The 18,454-nt window shown below is 35.5% G+C and overlaps 1 protein-coding gene across 2 annotated transcripts in view; it reads left to right on the top strand.

The window, feature by feature from the left end:
* DAZ1 (deleted in azoospermia 1) overlaps window positions 1-12,177 on the top strand; it is a 69,740-nt gene extending 57,563 nt beyond the window's left edge. For both annotated transcript variants that reach the window (NM_001388496.1, NM_004081.7), the window contains 4 exons: window positions 835-906; window positions 1,651-1,685; window positions 6,259-6,357; window positions 10,321-12,177. In NM_001388496.1, coding sequence (NP_001375425.1) covers window positions 835-906; window positions 1,651-1,685; window positions 6,259-6,322 — 171 coding nt within the window. In that variant the 3' untranslated portion in view covers window positions 6,323-6,357; window positions 10,321-12,177. The remainder of the gene's footprint in view (window positions 1-834; window positions 907-1,650; window positions 1,686-6,258; window positions 6,358-10,320) is intronic.

Below are 18,454 nucleotides of genomic sequence, written 5' to 3'. Positions count from 1 at the left end.
ACATACTCCATCACTTAATGTTGATAAAGGACGTTTATATTCTTCTTAGTTCGTTTTATTTATGTGTTAGCTTTAAAGACATTTTCTTTGACGGAAAATGAAGTAACAAAATAATAGTCCAATAGTTCTGCAGTGTCTCTAATTTGTTGATGTTTTCCATGTACTTGAAACATGTGTGGTATACCTCTTCTTTTTCCTTCTCTGAACAATGGCTGGAAAAAAAGCCCTACTTGTTTCTGTCATTTACTGTGCGGCATTACTGAATCAGGGCATATTCATGTGTGCTGCTACCTGTATGTTTTCAAACAATAAGAATTCATTGAAACATATAAGACATTATACTTTCTCTTCTCCAGTATTGGATTATAGACTGCACTTAGTTTTTTGGAATGAAGTACAAACATAGCACTAATATCTATAGAACTACATATTACCCTTTAATATTGTCTGATACAAAACAGTCTAGAAATATTCTGACATTGAAATAGCAAATGTATAAATTTAACTTACATTGCAATCTGTCTTAATGGAGCCTTATCACCGGTGTAAGAAAGAATTTCTGGGTGTGAATAAGTACACAGTATAAGGTAAACTTTGGTGAAATAGTCAATTCTTTTGTCATTTGTTCCCCCTTCACACCCAAAGTGTGGCACATGACATAGACTATTTCTTTCTTCATAAAGTCAGTCATTCATTTAGAATTCTGCATTGTTGTATGTAGAAAAATGATATTTTAACGTTTTTAATATTTTTGTTACATTGGGAATGATATTTCTTTCTAATTTTAAAAAATGGTTTACCATATTCTTTTTTTTCTGCCACCTTTCTTTTCAGGCATTTCCTGCTTATCCAAATTCAGCAGTTCAGGTCACCACTGGATATCAGTTCCATGTATACAATTACCAGGTAATGTAAGAAGGAATGAAATGATTTGCTTTCAGGTATTATTGAGGCCTTTAACTTGTTTATACAAATTTCCTGAATAGTTGGTCATTTTAAACTAGTGAAGTGTACCTAATATTTAAGGAAACACTTAGAATTAGTGTAGAATGAAGACCTCTGTCTGATTTAGAAGTAATGAGGTAATATTTTGACAGGAATGTACTTGGCAATAACTTTTCTGTAGAACAGTTTTCTGAGATTTGACCCTTCTATATTTCAGGATATAGTTTTCATCTTTGCTGTCAAATAGCTGAATGAAACCTCCAGGATGACTTTCATGAATTTTTTAGGGATATAGAGTAAATAAAATTATTACCCAATTCTTAGAGCACATAATTCAAATTATAGTTTCATTTAGTAGGCTGTTTCCCGACAATTGTTGTCTGGTTCTCTTTTCATAGTAGAGAGGACTCTATCTATGACCAATAATCATATGTAGCATAATAAGTTCAAAGTAGTAACATCTTTGAGATTTCCACAATGCCAAATCCAAAAATTGGGGAAAAGGTGTGGTTTCGTATTTGTATGTGGAAGTAACAACAAGAATGTCAGGAATTAGAACCATAAAGTACTTCTTTTTTCCATTGTCTTTCTTTTATTATAATAACAAAGGAGCCAGCATAGGTACTTCAATATTTTATATATCATTTGTTTTTGAAAATGTTTATGAATATTTGAATAATTTTGTTTTCCTATTTTTTTTTTAAGATGCCACCGCAGTGCCCTGTTGGGGAGCAAAGGAGGTAGGTTGTACCTCTGGTAAAGTGAATTAGCCTACCATGTACTTCTGTTCTTTCTGGATTATTTTCCATATCATTTATGCCTTATAAATATTTTAAATGATTCTTTATATTAATGTGTTACATTTTGTTACTTTCTTTTTAACCCAGTTACAATCTCCCATGGGTGCAACAGTGCCTTTTTCTCTCTCAGGTTTTTGTGTGCTTAAGGAGTGGCTGGTCCACATAATAAGTGTTCAGTTACTTGTTGATAGACTGTGTAATCTAAGAAAGATAGTATTAATGTCACTTTAGAATTAGCATGTATCTGCGTAGGGTCTGCCTCTGGTTTTACCAGCCACAAAAAATTTGTTGAAGAGAAACAGAAATGTTTTGCTGTTAATTACTCTTAAATAAGAATAGGAATAAAAAAAGAGTATTACCTCTAAAATACCTGAACTTCTTTCCCCCATTATACCTAGTTCTGAAAACATTTGAAAGCAGCTGTTCTAATGTTTCTGCCTAGTTTATTCTTTAAGGATAGCGATTAATCTAGCTCTTCTTTACTTGCAATGATTTCCAGTTGACTCCTCATATAAACTGCTGACTTCGGGATATATTCTCGGTCTGGAATGTATAGATTTCTGACCTATTTTACTGTACCTATAAATCCTGTGAATTTCTGGCATGTAATTTCTCTGATCCTGATTACTTTGATATTTAAAGTAGGATTTGACATACTCTATCACTTATTGGTGATAAATAACGTCTGTTTTCTTCTTAGTCCATTTTATTTATGTGTTAGTTTAAAAGACATTTTCTTTGATGGAAAATAAAGTAACAAAATAGTAGTGAAATAGTTCTTCAGTGTCTCTCATTTATTGACATTTTCTGTGTACTTGAAATGTGTAGGATATACCTCTTCTTCTTTTTTCTTCTCTGAACAATGGCTAGAGACAAAGCCCTACTTGTTTCTAACATTTACGGTGAGCCATTACTGAATTTGGGTGTATTCATGTATGCTGCTTCCTATATGTTTTCAAACAATAAGTATTTATCGAAACATATAAGACATCGTACTGTCCTTCTCCAGTTTTGGATTGTACACTGCCCTTAGTTTTTCGAAATGAAGTACAGAAAAAAAACATAACATCTGTAGGAGAACTACATATTACCCTGTAATATTGTCAAACACAAAACTATCTGGAAGTATATTGACAAAGAAATAGCAAATGTATTAACTTAACTTACATTGAGATCTGTCTTAATGGAGCCTTACCAGCAGTGTAAGAAACAACTTCTGGGTGGGCATAAGTACACAGTGTCAGTAAGGTGAACTTTGCCTGGTGAAATAGTCACTACTTTGTCATTTGTGTGTTCCCCCGCCCCACCCAAAGGGGCTTAGCACTTGACAGAGAATATTTATTTCTTCCTGAAGTCATTCATTCATTTAGAATTCTGCATTGTTTTATATAGAAAATTAATAAATATTTTAAAGTTTTTCATTTTTTTTATTTTGGGAATAATATTTTTTTCTAATTTAAAAAGATGTTTTACCATATTCATTCTTTCTGTAAACTTACTTTCAGACATATCCTACTTATCCAAATTCACCAGGTCAGGTCACCACTGGGTGTCAGTTGCCTGTATGTAATTATCAGGTAATTGAAGAGGGAGTAAAATGATTTGTTTTCAGATATTATTGAAGCCTTTAACTTGTTTATATGAATTTCCCAAATAGTGTGTCATTTTAAACTAGTGAAATGTACCTAAAATTTAGGAAAACACTTGCAATGGTCTAGAATGAAGCCCTCTGTATTATTTAGAAGTAATGAATTAACATTTTGACAGGGATATACTTAGCAATAACTTTTCTGTAAAACAGTTTTCTGAGATTCGTTGTCCCCTTCTATATTTCAGCGTGTATTTTTTCATCTTTTTCATCTTTTTATCATCCCATTCTTAGAGCACAGAATTCCAATTATATTTTTATTTTAAGCTTGCTGCTTCATGATAGTAGTTCTCTGGGCCTCTTTTCATAGATATGACTACATCTGTGACCCATAATCATATCTATGGTGATAAGTAATAAATTGAAAAAACTAGTATCCTTGAGATTTCCACAATGCCAACTCCAGAAAATTGGGAAAATGGCGAGGTTTTATGTATAAAAGTAACAAGAACATCAGGGATTAGAAACATAAAGTACTTCTTTTTTTTTTTTTACTCTGTTTCTTTCACTTTAATAACAAATGAGCCAGCATGATAAGTGCTTCAATATTGTGTATCTCATGAGTTTTTGAAAATGTGTAGGAATATTTTAATAGTTTTGGTTTCCTTCTTTTTATTTTTTTAAGGTGCTACCGCAGTGGCCTGTTGGGGAGCAAAAGGGGTTATGGAGTAAAGTGAATTAGTGAAACGTATACTTCCTCATCTTTCTTGACTTTTTTCTATGCCATATATGCCTGTAGATATTTTTAAATGGTTCTTTATATTAATGTTTTATGTTTTGTTACTTTATTTTTAACCCAATTATAAACTCCCATGGGAGCAACAGTGCCTTTTTGTCTCTCACATTTTTGTGTGCTGAAACAGTGGCTGGTCCACATAATGATAAGTGTTCAGTTACTTGTTGATAGATTATATAATCCAGGAATGGCGGTATTAACTGGCTTTAGAATTAGCATGTATCTGCCTAGAATATGCCTCTGGCTTTACTAGCCATAAAACATTTGTTGAGGAGAAACCGAAATGTTTTGCTATTAATTACTCTTAAAGAGGAATAGGAATAAAACAAGAGTATTACCTCTAATACAACAGAGCTGCTGTCTTACATCACGATTGGATATTTGAAGGATATAGTAAGTGTTAAAATTCTCAAACACTCCCTTAACTACATTTGTTTCTTAGAATCCTTCTACCTCTGATTATGTTGATACCTGGAAGACGTTTTAAAACAAAAGGCTGCCTTAATGCATTTCAACTTTTCGTTTAAAACAAGGTTTCTGAAGTAACACAATTGAATTTCAACACAACCTACATTGAAACTTTTGATACCAGCTCACCTTTTTGAGGAATAAATAAGTAGCTTTTAAACGTATCTGTATTATCTGTTTAATTACACTTTCATTATTTTAAATATAGGCTTATTCAGCTCTTAACTGTCACTGTAGTGAAGTTGATACAGGAGGTGATGTTGTGCTAAATGAATGCTCAATTCATGAAGCTACCCCACCCTCTGGAAATGGCCCACAAAAGGCAAACATCTAATTTTGAATTTTTTTTACAATATATATTTCATATTTTTTTCTAATTTGAATGACTTTTTTTGAGAAGCAAACATTTTTGCCCAAATTTAAAAATGTTAGCCATAAATCATGGAGCTTAAATAATGGACTGATAGTCAGCAGTTAATGTAAAGGTTGTTGAAATTTCAGATACCCCAAATTTTCAGTATATACCTAAAGTTTCTGATTCAGCAAGTCCTTTCCTGTATTTCAGTTTCACTAATTTTAAAAAGCCATTCTTTAATAAATACTGTATTAATATGATTTGGCAGAATGCTATGGGAGGGTTTCCTCTAGAATTCTACTCAAAAGAAGAATTAGTACGAATTGTATGTCCCTTTTCTTTTACAACAGTTTTGATCTTAAGCAGTGAAAAATACCATTTAAATAAGCATTCTCTCCATAACATTATATGTGGCAGAAGTTTCCAACAGTGGTGAAGTCAGTAGTAATTATTCAAACACTGAAATAGACAGGGTTGTTTCTTTTTTTTATCATTAGTGCAAATTTCTGTAATAACAGTACTGTCACTCCTGGCGTCACATATGTTCTGTTAGATAGGTGGGCGTGTGGAAGTAGTTGATGTGCTGGTAATATGTATAATACCCAAGAAGTCCCATTGCAGTGTAAATTCCTTGATTTGATATTGGATTTTAAAATGTGAATAAATATGAAAACATAACTCTTACAGTATAATTGTCTGGTTTTGTTCTGAGTATGTTTTCTTGAAACATTGGAATTCACTTAGGGATTTAACAAATTCAGCTTTTTAAACCAGTATTCTATCGCTAAGGTTCTAAAATAATTCTTCGATTTGTCAGAAAACGTACATACTGAGGATATGTGGCAGGAATTATGAATCACATTTTTATGAATTTCTTTTTTTTTTTGAGACAGGGTCTTGCGGTGTCGCCCAGGCTGGAAGTGCAGTGGTGTGATCTCGGCTCACTGCAACTTCTGTCTCCTAGGTTCCAGTAATTCTCCCTGCCTCAGCCTCCCCAATAGGTGGAATTACAGGCACCCGTCACCCAGCTAATTTTTGTATTTTTTAGTGGAGAAGGGGTTTCGCCATGTTGGCCAGGATAGTCTTGAACTCCTGATATCAGGTGATGCGTCCTCCTCGGCCTCCCAAAGTGCTGGGATTAGAGGTGTGAGCCACTGCTCCCAGCCTCTTTTAGCATTTTTGCATTTCTTTGGAAATAAACTGATATGTTCATTAAACCATCAAAAGAAAAACCAAAACACACCCTTATTAAGAGTGAGTGAAAGAAAGAGTTGTCTTTACATTACTGAAAACTTCTGTGTTTCAGAAATCTGTGGACCGAAGCATACAAATGGTGGTATCTTGTCTGTTTAATCCAGAGAAGAGACTGATAAATTCCGTTGTTACTCAAGATGACTGCTTCAAGGTATGAAAGGAATGGCATGCATAATTAAAAAGCACACTTGTTCCCTCTCAAGTTAGCTGTTTTCCTTGTGGCACATGTATTTTGGGCTTTCTTAGAGGAATTTTTTTTCTTTTTTTTTTGTTTTGAGACGGAGTCTCCTCTGTCGCCCAGGCTGGAGTGCAGTGAGTGGCCCCATCTAGGCTCACTGCAAGCTCCACCTCCCAGGTTTACTTAACGCCATTCTCCTGCCTCAGCCTTCCGAGTAGCTGGGACTACAGGCGCCCACCACCACGCCCAGCTAATTTTTTGTATTTTTAGTAGAGACGGGGTTTCACCGTGTTAGCCAGGATGGTCTCGATCTCCTGACCTCGTGATCCACCTGCCTCAGCCTCCCAAAGTGCTGGGATTACAGGCATGAGCCACCGTGCCCGGCCTAGAACATTTAATTGAACTGTTGGCATTTGACTGTAACCCAGTAAACCAGTGTGGGTTTTACCTGGCAGTATATTTTCTGCTGCCGAGCCTTGATATAATGTAGTCAAATTTAGGGAAGAATCCTGCAGCAGAAATTTGTAATTGAAAGGGTTTACTAGAGAAGAGAGTTAGTTGACTACCTTGACCAAATAGTAAAATAAAATTTTAGATACAGAAAGGAGATCTTGGCTGGGTGCAGAGGCTCACGCCTGTAATCCCAACACTTTGGGGGGCTGAGGTGGGTGGATTGCTTGAGCTCAGGAGTTCGAGGCCACCCTGGGTAACAAGGCAAAACACCATCTCTACAAAAAAATACAAAAATCAGCCAGTTGTGATGGTACATGCCTGTAGTGCCAACTACTCCAGAGGAGTCTGAGGCAGGAGGATCGCTTGAGCCTGGGAAGTTGAGGCTGCACTGAGCCATGATTGTGCCGTTGTAGTCCAGCCTGGGCAACAGAGTGAGAGACCTTGTCTCAAAAAAAAAAAAAAAAAAAAAAAAAAGTAGAACTTAATACATGCATATTGGACTAAAGAGAAGAAAAGAAATGATTTACTCAGATGATACACCTGAACAGTGTGAAGGGAGAAAAGGGGTAAAATGAAGCAGTAAAAAGTTGAGTAGAAAGAGAGGTTGATTCAGAGTTGGTGAAGCGGAAGAGAATGTGGCTAGTTGAATTCCAGAAAGATCTGACTTCTGATCCCACTTTCTATCCATGTTGGATAGATAAATCTTTTATTAAGGCTCTAATTCTTACAAGTCTAAAATGAGAAGGTACAGGACTAAAGGTTTCTGGGTCCCTGTGGTTCTAAGTCTATAAATACGAAAAAGAACTAACTTGGTCAGTCCGGTGGGAGAAAAATATTATGGTTAATAAAGGGAAGGTGTTTTTTAAATAACAATTTTATTAAAATAATACCAGTAATACAATTTATGTATTTAAAATGTGCACTTCACTGTTTTTTCATATATTCAAAGTTGTGCAACCATGTCCACAATCAATTTTAGAATATTTAAATCACCTCAAAAATCACCCCCGTACCTTAGCAGTCACCTGCTATTTTCCTGGAACTTGTGTGTATCCCTAGGCAAACACTAATTTACTTTTTTCCTCTAAGGATTTTCCTGTCCTGGAGATTTCTTGTATATGGAATCATACATAATGATGTGGCATTTTGTGACTGGATTTTTTCACTCAGCATAATGTTTGTAAGGTTCATCAATATTCTAGCACGTATCAGAACTTAATCATTTCTTTTTATTTGTAGATATTACCTTATTCTGTTTATGCATTCATCTGTTAAAGACATTTGGATTATTTCCACTTTTTAGCTGTTATAACTAATGCTGTGAACATTCATGTACAAGTTACTGTGGGGACATACGTGCTTACCTCTCTTGCGTATATACTTGGGAATGGAATTGCTAAGTCATATTTAACCTTTAGTGGAACTGCCAGATTTGTCAAAACTGGCTACACACTTTACATTCAAAAGAAAATGTTTAACCATCACTTTGTGTCTTACAACAGAACTAGCTTATTTTTGTCTGTGAATGGATATGGGATGAAGCCTAAGCCTTTTTAAAGGGTTATATTATGAATCTTCTGTATAATGTAGAAGAGTAGAGCCAGATAGCAGAATTAAGTTCTTAACATCTTTGCAACATGGAGTAAATATATTTAAATTTGACATTTGTTCTCTTGTTGCTTCGTTCTATATAGATAGTACAATTTAGAAAAGAAAGAACTGGAATTGTACATCAGCTTATCTTGCCGAAAATTCTGATTACATTGGTGTCTACAGTAGTACTTAAGTGATTTTCAAAGCAGAAGATAGTTTTTTGTGTTTCTTTCTTTCTTTCTTTTTTTTTTTTTTGAGGTGACCTCATTTGGTCATCCAGGCTGGAGTGCAGTGTCGCAATCACAGCTTACTACAACCTCAAACTCCTGCACTCAAGGGATCCTTCTGCCTCAGCGTCCCAAATAGGACGACAGACGTGCACCACCACACTTAGCTAGTTAAAAAGAAATTTTTTTTTTTTTTTTTTGAGACAGAGTCCCACTGTGTCACCCAGGTTGGAGTGCAGTGGTGCGATCTTGGCTCACTGCAAGTTCTGCCTCCCAGGTTCATGCCATTCTCCTGCCTCAGCCTCCCGAGTGGCTGGGACTACAGGTGCCTGCCACCACGCCCAGCTAATTTTTTGTGTTTTTAGTAGAGATGGGGTTTCATCGTGTTAGCCAGGATGGTCTCGATCTCCTGACCTTGTGATCTGCCCGCCTCGGCCTCCCAAATTGCTGGGATTACAGGTGTGAGCCACCGTGCCCAGCCAAAAGATTTTTTTTTAAGAGAGAATCTTACTATATTGCCCTGGCTCGTCTTGAACTCCTGGGCTCAAGTGATCCTCCTGCCTCAGCCTCCCAAAGTGCTGGGATTACAGGCGTATGCCACCATGTCCAGCCCAGAAAATATTTTTTTAAACTTGAGTTCTCACCTGGTGGTAGACAAAAGACTCGCTTTGAAACTTCCAGAGTTTTCTGCTTATTTGGGAGAGGAATCAGAAGTTGGCATCCTGCAGTTGTCTGACATTTAGACCTATTTTAATTGACTGCACGTTGTTATATTGAATTAGAATGCCTGAGATATTTTTGAATGTATTTACAATTTCCATAGCCGATTTCTCTTCATTGTCTTAGTTATCTAGCCCTTTCACAATCTTGTTTCCTACATGACCTCTGAATATACATGTTGGTGACCAGTTTTCTAGATTTTAACCTAAATTGATTATCACTCTTTTGACAGATGAGGTAACTTCCAGAAGCCACTTTTATTTATATGAAAATGAAACTGAAGTCTTAAAAAAAGGGCACAGCTTTGTAGAAAAGGAAATGTTATTACTCGTTCACTCATTCCCATTCCTCCTTGTAAGACCTCTCACTTCTCTCTGCACGTCTGCAGGCAACATAGAGTGAAAAGAAAGTTTTGCATGTATTTTAAAGTTTTATCTTCCTTTCTAAAGAATGATATGTCTTCACAGGTTAATGATATGTTCTTCAAATGCCAAAACTTACATATTTTAATCTAAAAACACGAAATTTCAGATTGGAGAGCAGTTCGCAAGCTGTAGTTGGTATTAAATGCAGTTCAATTAGTGAAAAAAGTATTCTTTACAATTACATTTTCTACCAGCTGTCTTTGGGACATTACTGCAAAATTATTAACTAAGAAGTACATAAAATGATACTGAGTTTAAGTCCTTTTATTTCTCAGTTTACTGGAATTTGTTTTATTTAATTATTGATTTCTTTTTTTAACTGTTTAATAAAACTAGCCATCTTGGTACATTTGTTATCCCAGTGTTCAAATATGCTTCCTGAAAAGAATCATCTTTTTTTCTCATTATTTATAATGTTTAAACCCAAAACAAATGGTTTAAGTTTTGACAACTTTCAGATCCATAGTAGTCATCAGAAATTTTCAGTAAAATAAAAGGACTATTTCTGTCTTTTCCAGGGTAAAAGAGTGCATCGCTTTAGAAGAAGTTTGGCAGTATTTAAATCTGTTGGATCCTCTCAGCTATCTAGTTTCATGGGAAGTTGCTGGTTTTGAATATTAAGCTAAAAGTTTTCCACTATTACAGAAATTCTGAATTTTGGTAAATCACACTGAAACTTTCTGTATAACTTGTATTATTAGACTCTCTAGTTTTATCTTAACACTGAAACTGTTCTTCATTAGATGTTTATTTAGAACCTGGTTCTGTGTTTAATATATAGTTTAAAGTAACAAATAATCGAGACTGAAAGAATGTTAAGATTTATCTGCAAGGATTTTTAAAAAATTGAAACTTGCATTTTAAGTGTTTAAAAGCAAATACTGACTTTCAAAAAAGTTTTTAAAACCTGATTTGAAAGCTAACAATTTTGATAGTCTGAACACAAGCATTTCACTTCTCCAAGAAGTACCTGTGAACAGTACAATATTTCAGTATTGAGCTTTGCATTTATGATTTATCTAGAAATTTACCTCAAAAGCAGAATTTTTAAAACTGCATTTTTAATCAGTGGAACTCAATGTATAGTTAGCTTTATTGAAGTCTTATCCAAACCCAGTAAAACAGATTCTAAGCAAACAGTCCAATCAGTGAGTCATAATGTTTATTCAAAGTATTTTATCTTTTATCTAGAATCCACATATGTATGTCCAATTTGATTGGGATAGTAGTTAGGATAACTAAAATTCTGGGCCTAATTTTTTAAAGAATCCAAGACAAACTAAACTTTACTGGGTATATAACCTTCTCAATGAGTTACCATTCTTTTTTATAAAAAAAATTGTTCCTTGAAATGCTAAACTTAATGGCTGTATGTGAAATTTGCAAAATACTGGTATTAAAGAACGCTGCAGCTTTTTTATGTCACTCAAAGGTTAATCGGAGTATCTGAAAGGAATTGTTTTTATAAAAACATTGAAGTATTAGTTACTTGCTATAAATAGATTTTTATTTTTGTTTTTTAGCCTGTTATATTTCCTTCTGTAAAATAAAATATGTCCAGAAGAGGCATGTTGTTTCTAGATTAGGTAGTGTCCTCATTTTATATTGTGACCACACAGCTAGAGCACCAGAGCCCTTTTGCTATACTCACAGTCTTGTTTTCCCAGCCTCTTTTACTAGTCTTTCAGGAGGTTTGCTCTTAGAACTGGTGATGTAAAGAATGGAAGTAGCTGTATGAGCAGTTCAAAGGCCAAGCCGTGGAATGGTAGCAATGGGATATAATACCTTTCTAAGGGAAACATTTGTATCAGTATCATTTGATCTGCCATGGACATGTGTTTAAAGTGGCTTTCTGGCCCTTCTTTCAATGGCTTCTTCCCTAAAACGTGGAGACTCTAAGTTAATGTCGTTACTATGGGCCATATTACTAATGCCCACTGGGGTCTATGATTTCTCAAAATTTTCATTCGGAATCCGAAGGATACAGTCTTTAAACTTTAGAATTCCCAAGAAGGCTTTATTACACCTCAGAAATTGAAAGCACCATGACTTTGTCCATTAAAAAATTATCCATAGTTTTTTTAGTGCTTTTAACATTCCGACATACATCATTCTGTGATTAAATCTCCAGATTTCTGTAAATGATACCTACATTCTAAAGAGTTAATTCTAATTATTCCGATATGACCTTAAGGAAAAGTAAAGGAATAAATTTTTGTCTTTGTTGAAGTATTTAATAGAGTAAGGTAAAGAAGATATTAAGTCCCTTTCAAAATGGAAAATTAATTCTAAACTGAGAAAAATGTTCCTACTACCTATTGCTGATACTGTCTTTGCATAAATGAATAAAAATAAACTTTTTTTCTTCAAATGTGTTTTTGGCTTTCCGATGTAATAATGTAAAATGGTGGGGAGTTGCGTGGGAACTGTGTAACAAGGTTTAAATTCGTATAACAAGCTTTAGATTCTTAAAATGCAGAAGTATAAAGTTCAGTATACTAATCTGTCTGAGTTAGCCCATAAAAGCAAATGTAGGTACAAAGATAAGTTTAAGAGGTGCATCAACAGCAGTGCAGACTAGGAATGCTGATGAACACATCCGACTCTGCTATCTCACGGCTAAGGTCCCTCACATTTTGGACCCTATGAAGCATTTTGTCTACTGTACACTTTGGGCCTAGTCTCTAGATCATTTATTTCGGGGTATTGCAGTTGCCTAAGGGAGCTTAATTTTTTTATATTGCAGGTACTTCCTGTGGATACCATAAAAAAAAAAAATCAGTACCGCTTCTTCTAGCTTTAGTGTTAGTACTCAGTTCTATAAGCTGAGTCCAGTGGAGAGGAAACTCCTCAGACACTCCTGTATTTCATTAGTTAGTAAGCTTGCTGATTCATAACCAGAAAGTTGACTCCAAGGATACGCAGGATAGCAAACAGTGCTTTCTGCATCACCAAAGATTAAATTGTGATGTTTAGTGTCCAATAATAGGCAAAAAATTAGTAATTCTTTTATGTGCCTATGTGTATATATGTGTACATATGTGTCTATATATGCATATATTTATGGTTATGTACATACTAACGATTATCCAGAATATTTGGTTCTAGCTGATCAAGCTAGTAGGTTTTCAGTATTTTCAGACCCCAAAACTAGACTACATATGGTTTAAGATAGTTGCTTTACACCAGCTTGTTTCTAGTTTCCTATTAAATTATTACCACAAAAATCTTTGGAATTGAAAAATAACAGTTAAGCACTTTTTTGTAAAAAGTTCAAGTTATGGTGAAATCAAGCAGCTCTAAAAAGGTTGGTCACCTCCTTAAGTGTATTCTGCATGTTGGTTTTTTTCTTTTTCTAAAATCAGATTACCTTTAATTCAAAATAACTTCAGAATTGGTAGTACCTGTCTGGCAAGGAAGTCATTGACTCTTAAAAATAAATACTCCACAGCATTTCCCTCTCGTTATAAAGCACCTCTAGCCCCCTCTTCACTAAATTTTTCTTGGCTTTTTTTTAAAGGTAAACTGATAAAAATGGGCTGCCACATTGCTTAATCGCCTTGCCTGCTTTCCTTGCTGTCAGTTGAGGGTAATGAGGAGCAGCAACGATAAGGCAGCGTGCCACCTTGCTTTCACAAAGATGCCAATAGAGAAAGTGGGGAAACATAAGGGAGAAAAAAGTAGCAGTATTTTACATTGACCAAGTCTTGTGAATGGGCCAGCTATTGAGTATGATCATTTGGAATCCCTAGATAAGGATTGCTCCTGTACATATTTTGATAAGTGTAATCTATCCCTTCCCAACATGTGTAGTATGTCTCTGTATGTAACTGATTGTTGTGAGCAATTCCTTGCCACTCACCAAAGACAGAACTTTCCATCTGTAGACAGTACATTTTGTAGTAGAAAACAATAGACATAAGAAGTTCAAACTATAAACATGTTTTTGAATGCTCATGAAAGATAATCTGCATAGCAAAGAAATAATAGACAATTCAACATTGCATTTAGAGTTAAAAACATCTGTCCAGTATGGATGTAGCTGTGGGCCAATCCTAAGTAAACGCAAAAAAAAAAAAAAAAAAAAATTGTCTCTTGGTACAGAAGTTGAAACTACCACTCTACCACTGTACAATTAAACTCTATGGTCGCTGTATTTTACGTTTTTAACTGGTCTGAAACAGTTCTCTAGTTAAGTCTGTAGTTCGTTTTCCCAAGACAAGGCTTTGTATCTTACGTGCACCTTCATTAATGCTGCATGCCAGGAATTCCACATGAAACTTCAAGATGCCGGTTCACTAGGTCTTTTCCACATGAAACTTCAAGATACCGGTTCACTAGGTCTTTAACAATAGAACAAATACTTGCATGACTGGGATATTCAGGTCATGAACACTCCTTATAAATTTGAAGCAATAGTAACATTTTAAGCACTTTGGAAAATTGGAGGTTTCATAACCCTCAATCAGATCTTTTTATAGAATAACAAAAATACACTAAGGTTCTAATCACATCTATTGTCTTTGCCCAAAATAACATGGATAGAGACACACTCCATTCTGGCTCAATCTTAGATGAAACTCCAGAAGAAAGGCAGTTGATAATGATACAGCCAGGCCAGCTGTTTAAGTGGACGTGTCCCCTCTGCCCTTGTACATTTGTTTAAAAATTTTGATAGGACTCTTCCCGCCTCCTTCACACCCTCCATAAATCTGACTAGGCCCATAAGAATGGAGAGAGGTAATTTAAAAGGCAGAGGACATTTTTCTCCTTGTTTTTACCTATGCTGATCCCCTACCTGGTGTTGGAGCAGCTTCACTGTGAGTAAAATCTGAACAGTGTTTAAGCAGTAAACCCACTATATTGAGGAAAGCGTGACCTGCACTTTTTTTTTTTTTTTTTTTCCTGAACATGACTTGGTTGTTGCTCATCATTTTGGTTGGTGATGGGTCTTTGACAAACCGATATGCTCACCATCCAAAGTTGTGTCCATGTTTAGATCAGCGCAGTATTCGATAGGGCACGTTTCCTCAAGATACCAATTTTACAGGGAAGTCAAAGAGCATCAGAGCTATCATAAGGGGTGTTTTTCAGAAGCCAAATCCTGGGCCCCATTCTCAGATGCTCTTATTCTAATGCTCTGGATGGGCCCAGTAATCTGCATTTTTAACATGTGCCCCAGGTGATTCTGACCACCGTAACATACTTTGAGAAATATGGCCTCAGCTGGGGAGCTCTCATTAGATCATCTCAAGCTACCCCTGGATTTAGGATAGAAACAGCCCTGTCAGGTCAACTATGACTTTCATAAAGGATTCCGTTGGCTTAATTCACCGAATTCATCTTTCCCTGCCAAGCCCGTGCCTGGGAATGCCAGCTGTCCACAGGCAAGAGTGACTCATGAATGGGCTGAAATAGATTGAATAGAAAGTTTGAAAACCAAGACTTGTGGCCAGAAATCAGTGACAGGAGGGAGTGACTACAGAGGCAAAGCTGGATTCCAAGGCCAAGAGCAGGCAAGCCAAGGGTGAGGGACTAGGCTCGAGTGGGAAAGGGCAGAGTGGATATCCTGGGGACAGAGACACTGTGTTTGCCTCCTGGAGTGAAGAACTATGCCTTTGACTCACTTGACACACTTTACAAATAGTATTACCCATGGTTTTTAGAAAAGTATGGCCTGTCATTGCTCCTTTTCCTGCTGTGGAATTAACTAATACCTCTTAACACCTTTAAGCAAGAATGATAATAACAGATCAATATCAAAAAAATATGTTGAGATCAAGTTCCAGAGACAGCCTTAGGCATTTGATATCCATATTCTTTTTGTATATGTCTGTGTTTTAAAATTTCACATTTAGTTCACTCAAAAGTATAAAAATATTTATTTAAAGAATAATAAATACCCAAGTTGGCTTGAGAAATAGAACATTTCATTAATTAAAAAATATGCCCTCCCTGATCACACCCTCTTCCTCCCCAAGAAGAAGAAACCACCTAAATTGAATTTTGGTTTAATCATCTGCTGAATAAAATGTTTCTTTTCACAATATTTTGAACTTTAAGAGAACATATACTGAAACTATTTTTTTTTTTTTTTTTTTTTTGGCACATTGTTAGACTCATCCGTGTTGACTGGGAGATTCTATTTATTTTCACTGCTTTTTAGTTGTATCAGTTGAATATTTTACGGTTTGTTATTTCCCTTGCTGGGGGACAATTGACTTTTATTTTTTGTTTTAAAATTTTAAATGTAAATTGTGTTGATTCGTTGATTGCTGTTACAAACTATGCTCCTACGAACATTGTTAAATGCCTCTGATCACTTAGGTACTAGAATGTCATAAAAAAGAGTGAACTTTAAATCCCAGCCCCAAATACTTCCTGAGTAAGCTTGGACGAGCTTCTCACTGAGTCTTGGTTTCCTCCTCTGTAAAACAACAATACTAGTATCTACTTTATAGTGTTACTATGAGATTATTTGGGGCAACACATCAATGTGGTTAGCTTCCCATCCACAGATCTACCCACCTGCATCCCACTCAAACCCACCTAAGTTTTCTGCAGCCTTTACATTTCAGTAACTAGAACTTCCCACGTGGTCTGTGTATAGAGCAGCCATGGTTTGGTGAATGACTGTGTCCTGAAATGTAGTCTTTTGCGTATCTTCTTTGGTAGTAGGAAACAGCTCATTATGCTAGGCTCTTCAGGATATTTTCTAGAATAGTTCCCTTTTTTCTGAGAGGGCCTTGAATGAGTAGAACACTAACAAATGAGTGAAATAATGGTACATAGGCCAGCATTCCCTAAGCACAATTTCTGTTTTTCCTTCATGAAATGCTGGAGGTGGCAGGCAGGATTTCATATCCCATTCTTCTCATCACATGCATACTCCCTGAAATTTGTATAGGATTTTAGGGTTTTCAGAGCTACTTCGTATATATGATTTCGTTTGGTCTTCGTCAACTCCTTTGAAGTGCTAGACATGTCTAGGTTTTAGGTGTGATTTTCTTAAATTTACACACCCTGGGATTCAGATAAATAAGAAACTGAGACTTGACATCTGGGCCATTGCTTTTTATACTATCTCATAGATAGCAGACTCTCCAAATCAAAATACAGAAATATTTTTACTAATACATAATAATTATACACATTTATGGGATATCTGTGACAATTTCATGCTTCCATGCAATGTGTGGTGATCAAAACAGGGTAACTGGGATATCCATCACCTCAAACATTTATCATTTCTTTGTGTGGGGAGCATTTTCTACCTATTTGGAACTACACAATAAATTATTGTTAACTATAGTCACCCTCCTGTGCTGTCAAACACTAGAACTTATTCCTTCTAACTGTATTTTTGTATCCAGTAAACAACCTCCCTTAATTCCCGTCCCCCAACCCCAACACTCACTCTCTATAGCCTCTGTTAACTACTGTTCTACACTTTACCTCCATGAGATCAATTATTTTGGCTCCCACATATGAGTGAGAATAAAGACATTTGTCTTTCTGTGCCTGGTTTATTTCACTTAAAATAATGTCCTTGGTTCCATCCGTGTTGCTGCAAATGACCGGACCTCATCCTTTTTAACGGCTCAATAGTACTCCATTGTGTAGATGTACCACATTTTCTTTATGCATTCATCTGTTGACGGATACTTAGGCTGGTTCCAAATCTTGGATATTGTGAACAGTACTGCAATAAACGTGAGAGTGCAGAGATCTCTTCAACATGCCATGCTGTTTTTGTTACTACTACAGTTTTGCAGTACATTTTGAAATTCGCTAGCGTGATGCCTTCAGCTTTATTCTTTTGACTCAGTATTGCTTTCGCTACTTGGAGTCTTTTGTGGTTCCATAGAATTTTATGATTTTTTTTTCTAATTTCTATGAAGAAGTATTTGGCATTTTCACGGGGATTGCATGAAATCTGTAGATCACTTTTGGCAGAATTGGTTATTTTAACAATATTAATTCTTCCAACCTGTGAACATGGGGTTGGGGTGTCTTTCTACTTTTTTGTGTAATCTTTAATTTATTTTGTAAGTTTTTTAATAGTTTTCCTTGTAGAGGTTTTTATCTCATTGGTTAAATTTATTCCTAGATACTTTATTTTATTTTTTATACCTATTATAAACGGGATTGCTTTCTTGATTATTTTTTCCTGCTGGCTGCTTGTTGGTACACAGAAAGTCTAGTGGTTTTTGTATATTAATTTTGTGTACTGCAAATTTACTGAATTCACTTATCACTTCTGAAAGTTTTTTTGGTGGAGTTTTAAGGGTTTTGTGTCTGCAAACAAATTTACTGAATTCATTTATGACTACTGAAAGTTTTTTGGTGGAGTTTTAAAGGTTTTATATCTGCAAACAGGGACAATTTGACTTCTTCCTTTCCAATCTGGATGCTCTTTTTTTTCCCTTGCCTAATTGCTGTGGCTAGAACTTCTGGTACTATGCTGAATAAAAGTTGTGAAGTGGATATTTTTGTCTCTTCCGTATGTTAGAGGAAATCCTTTGAATTTTTCCCTGTTCAGTATGATGTTGGTTGTGGGTTTATTATATATGGCCTTTATTGTGTTCAGATATATTCCTTTTACGTCTGACTTGTGGAGAGTTTTTATCATGAAGCCCTGTTGAATTTTAT

The sequence above is a fragment of the Homo sapiens genome, chromosome Y (assembly GCF_000001405.40).
Source record: "Homo sapiens chromosome Y, GRCh38.p14 Primary Assembly".
NCBI lineage: Eukaryota > Metazoa > Chordata > Mammalia > Primates > Hominidae > Homo > Homo sapiens.
Note: the sequence above shows the minus strand (reverse complement) of the source record. Positions and strands in the feature narration are given on the sequence as shown.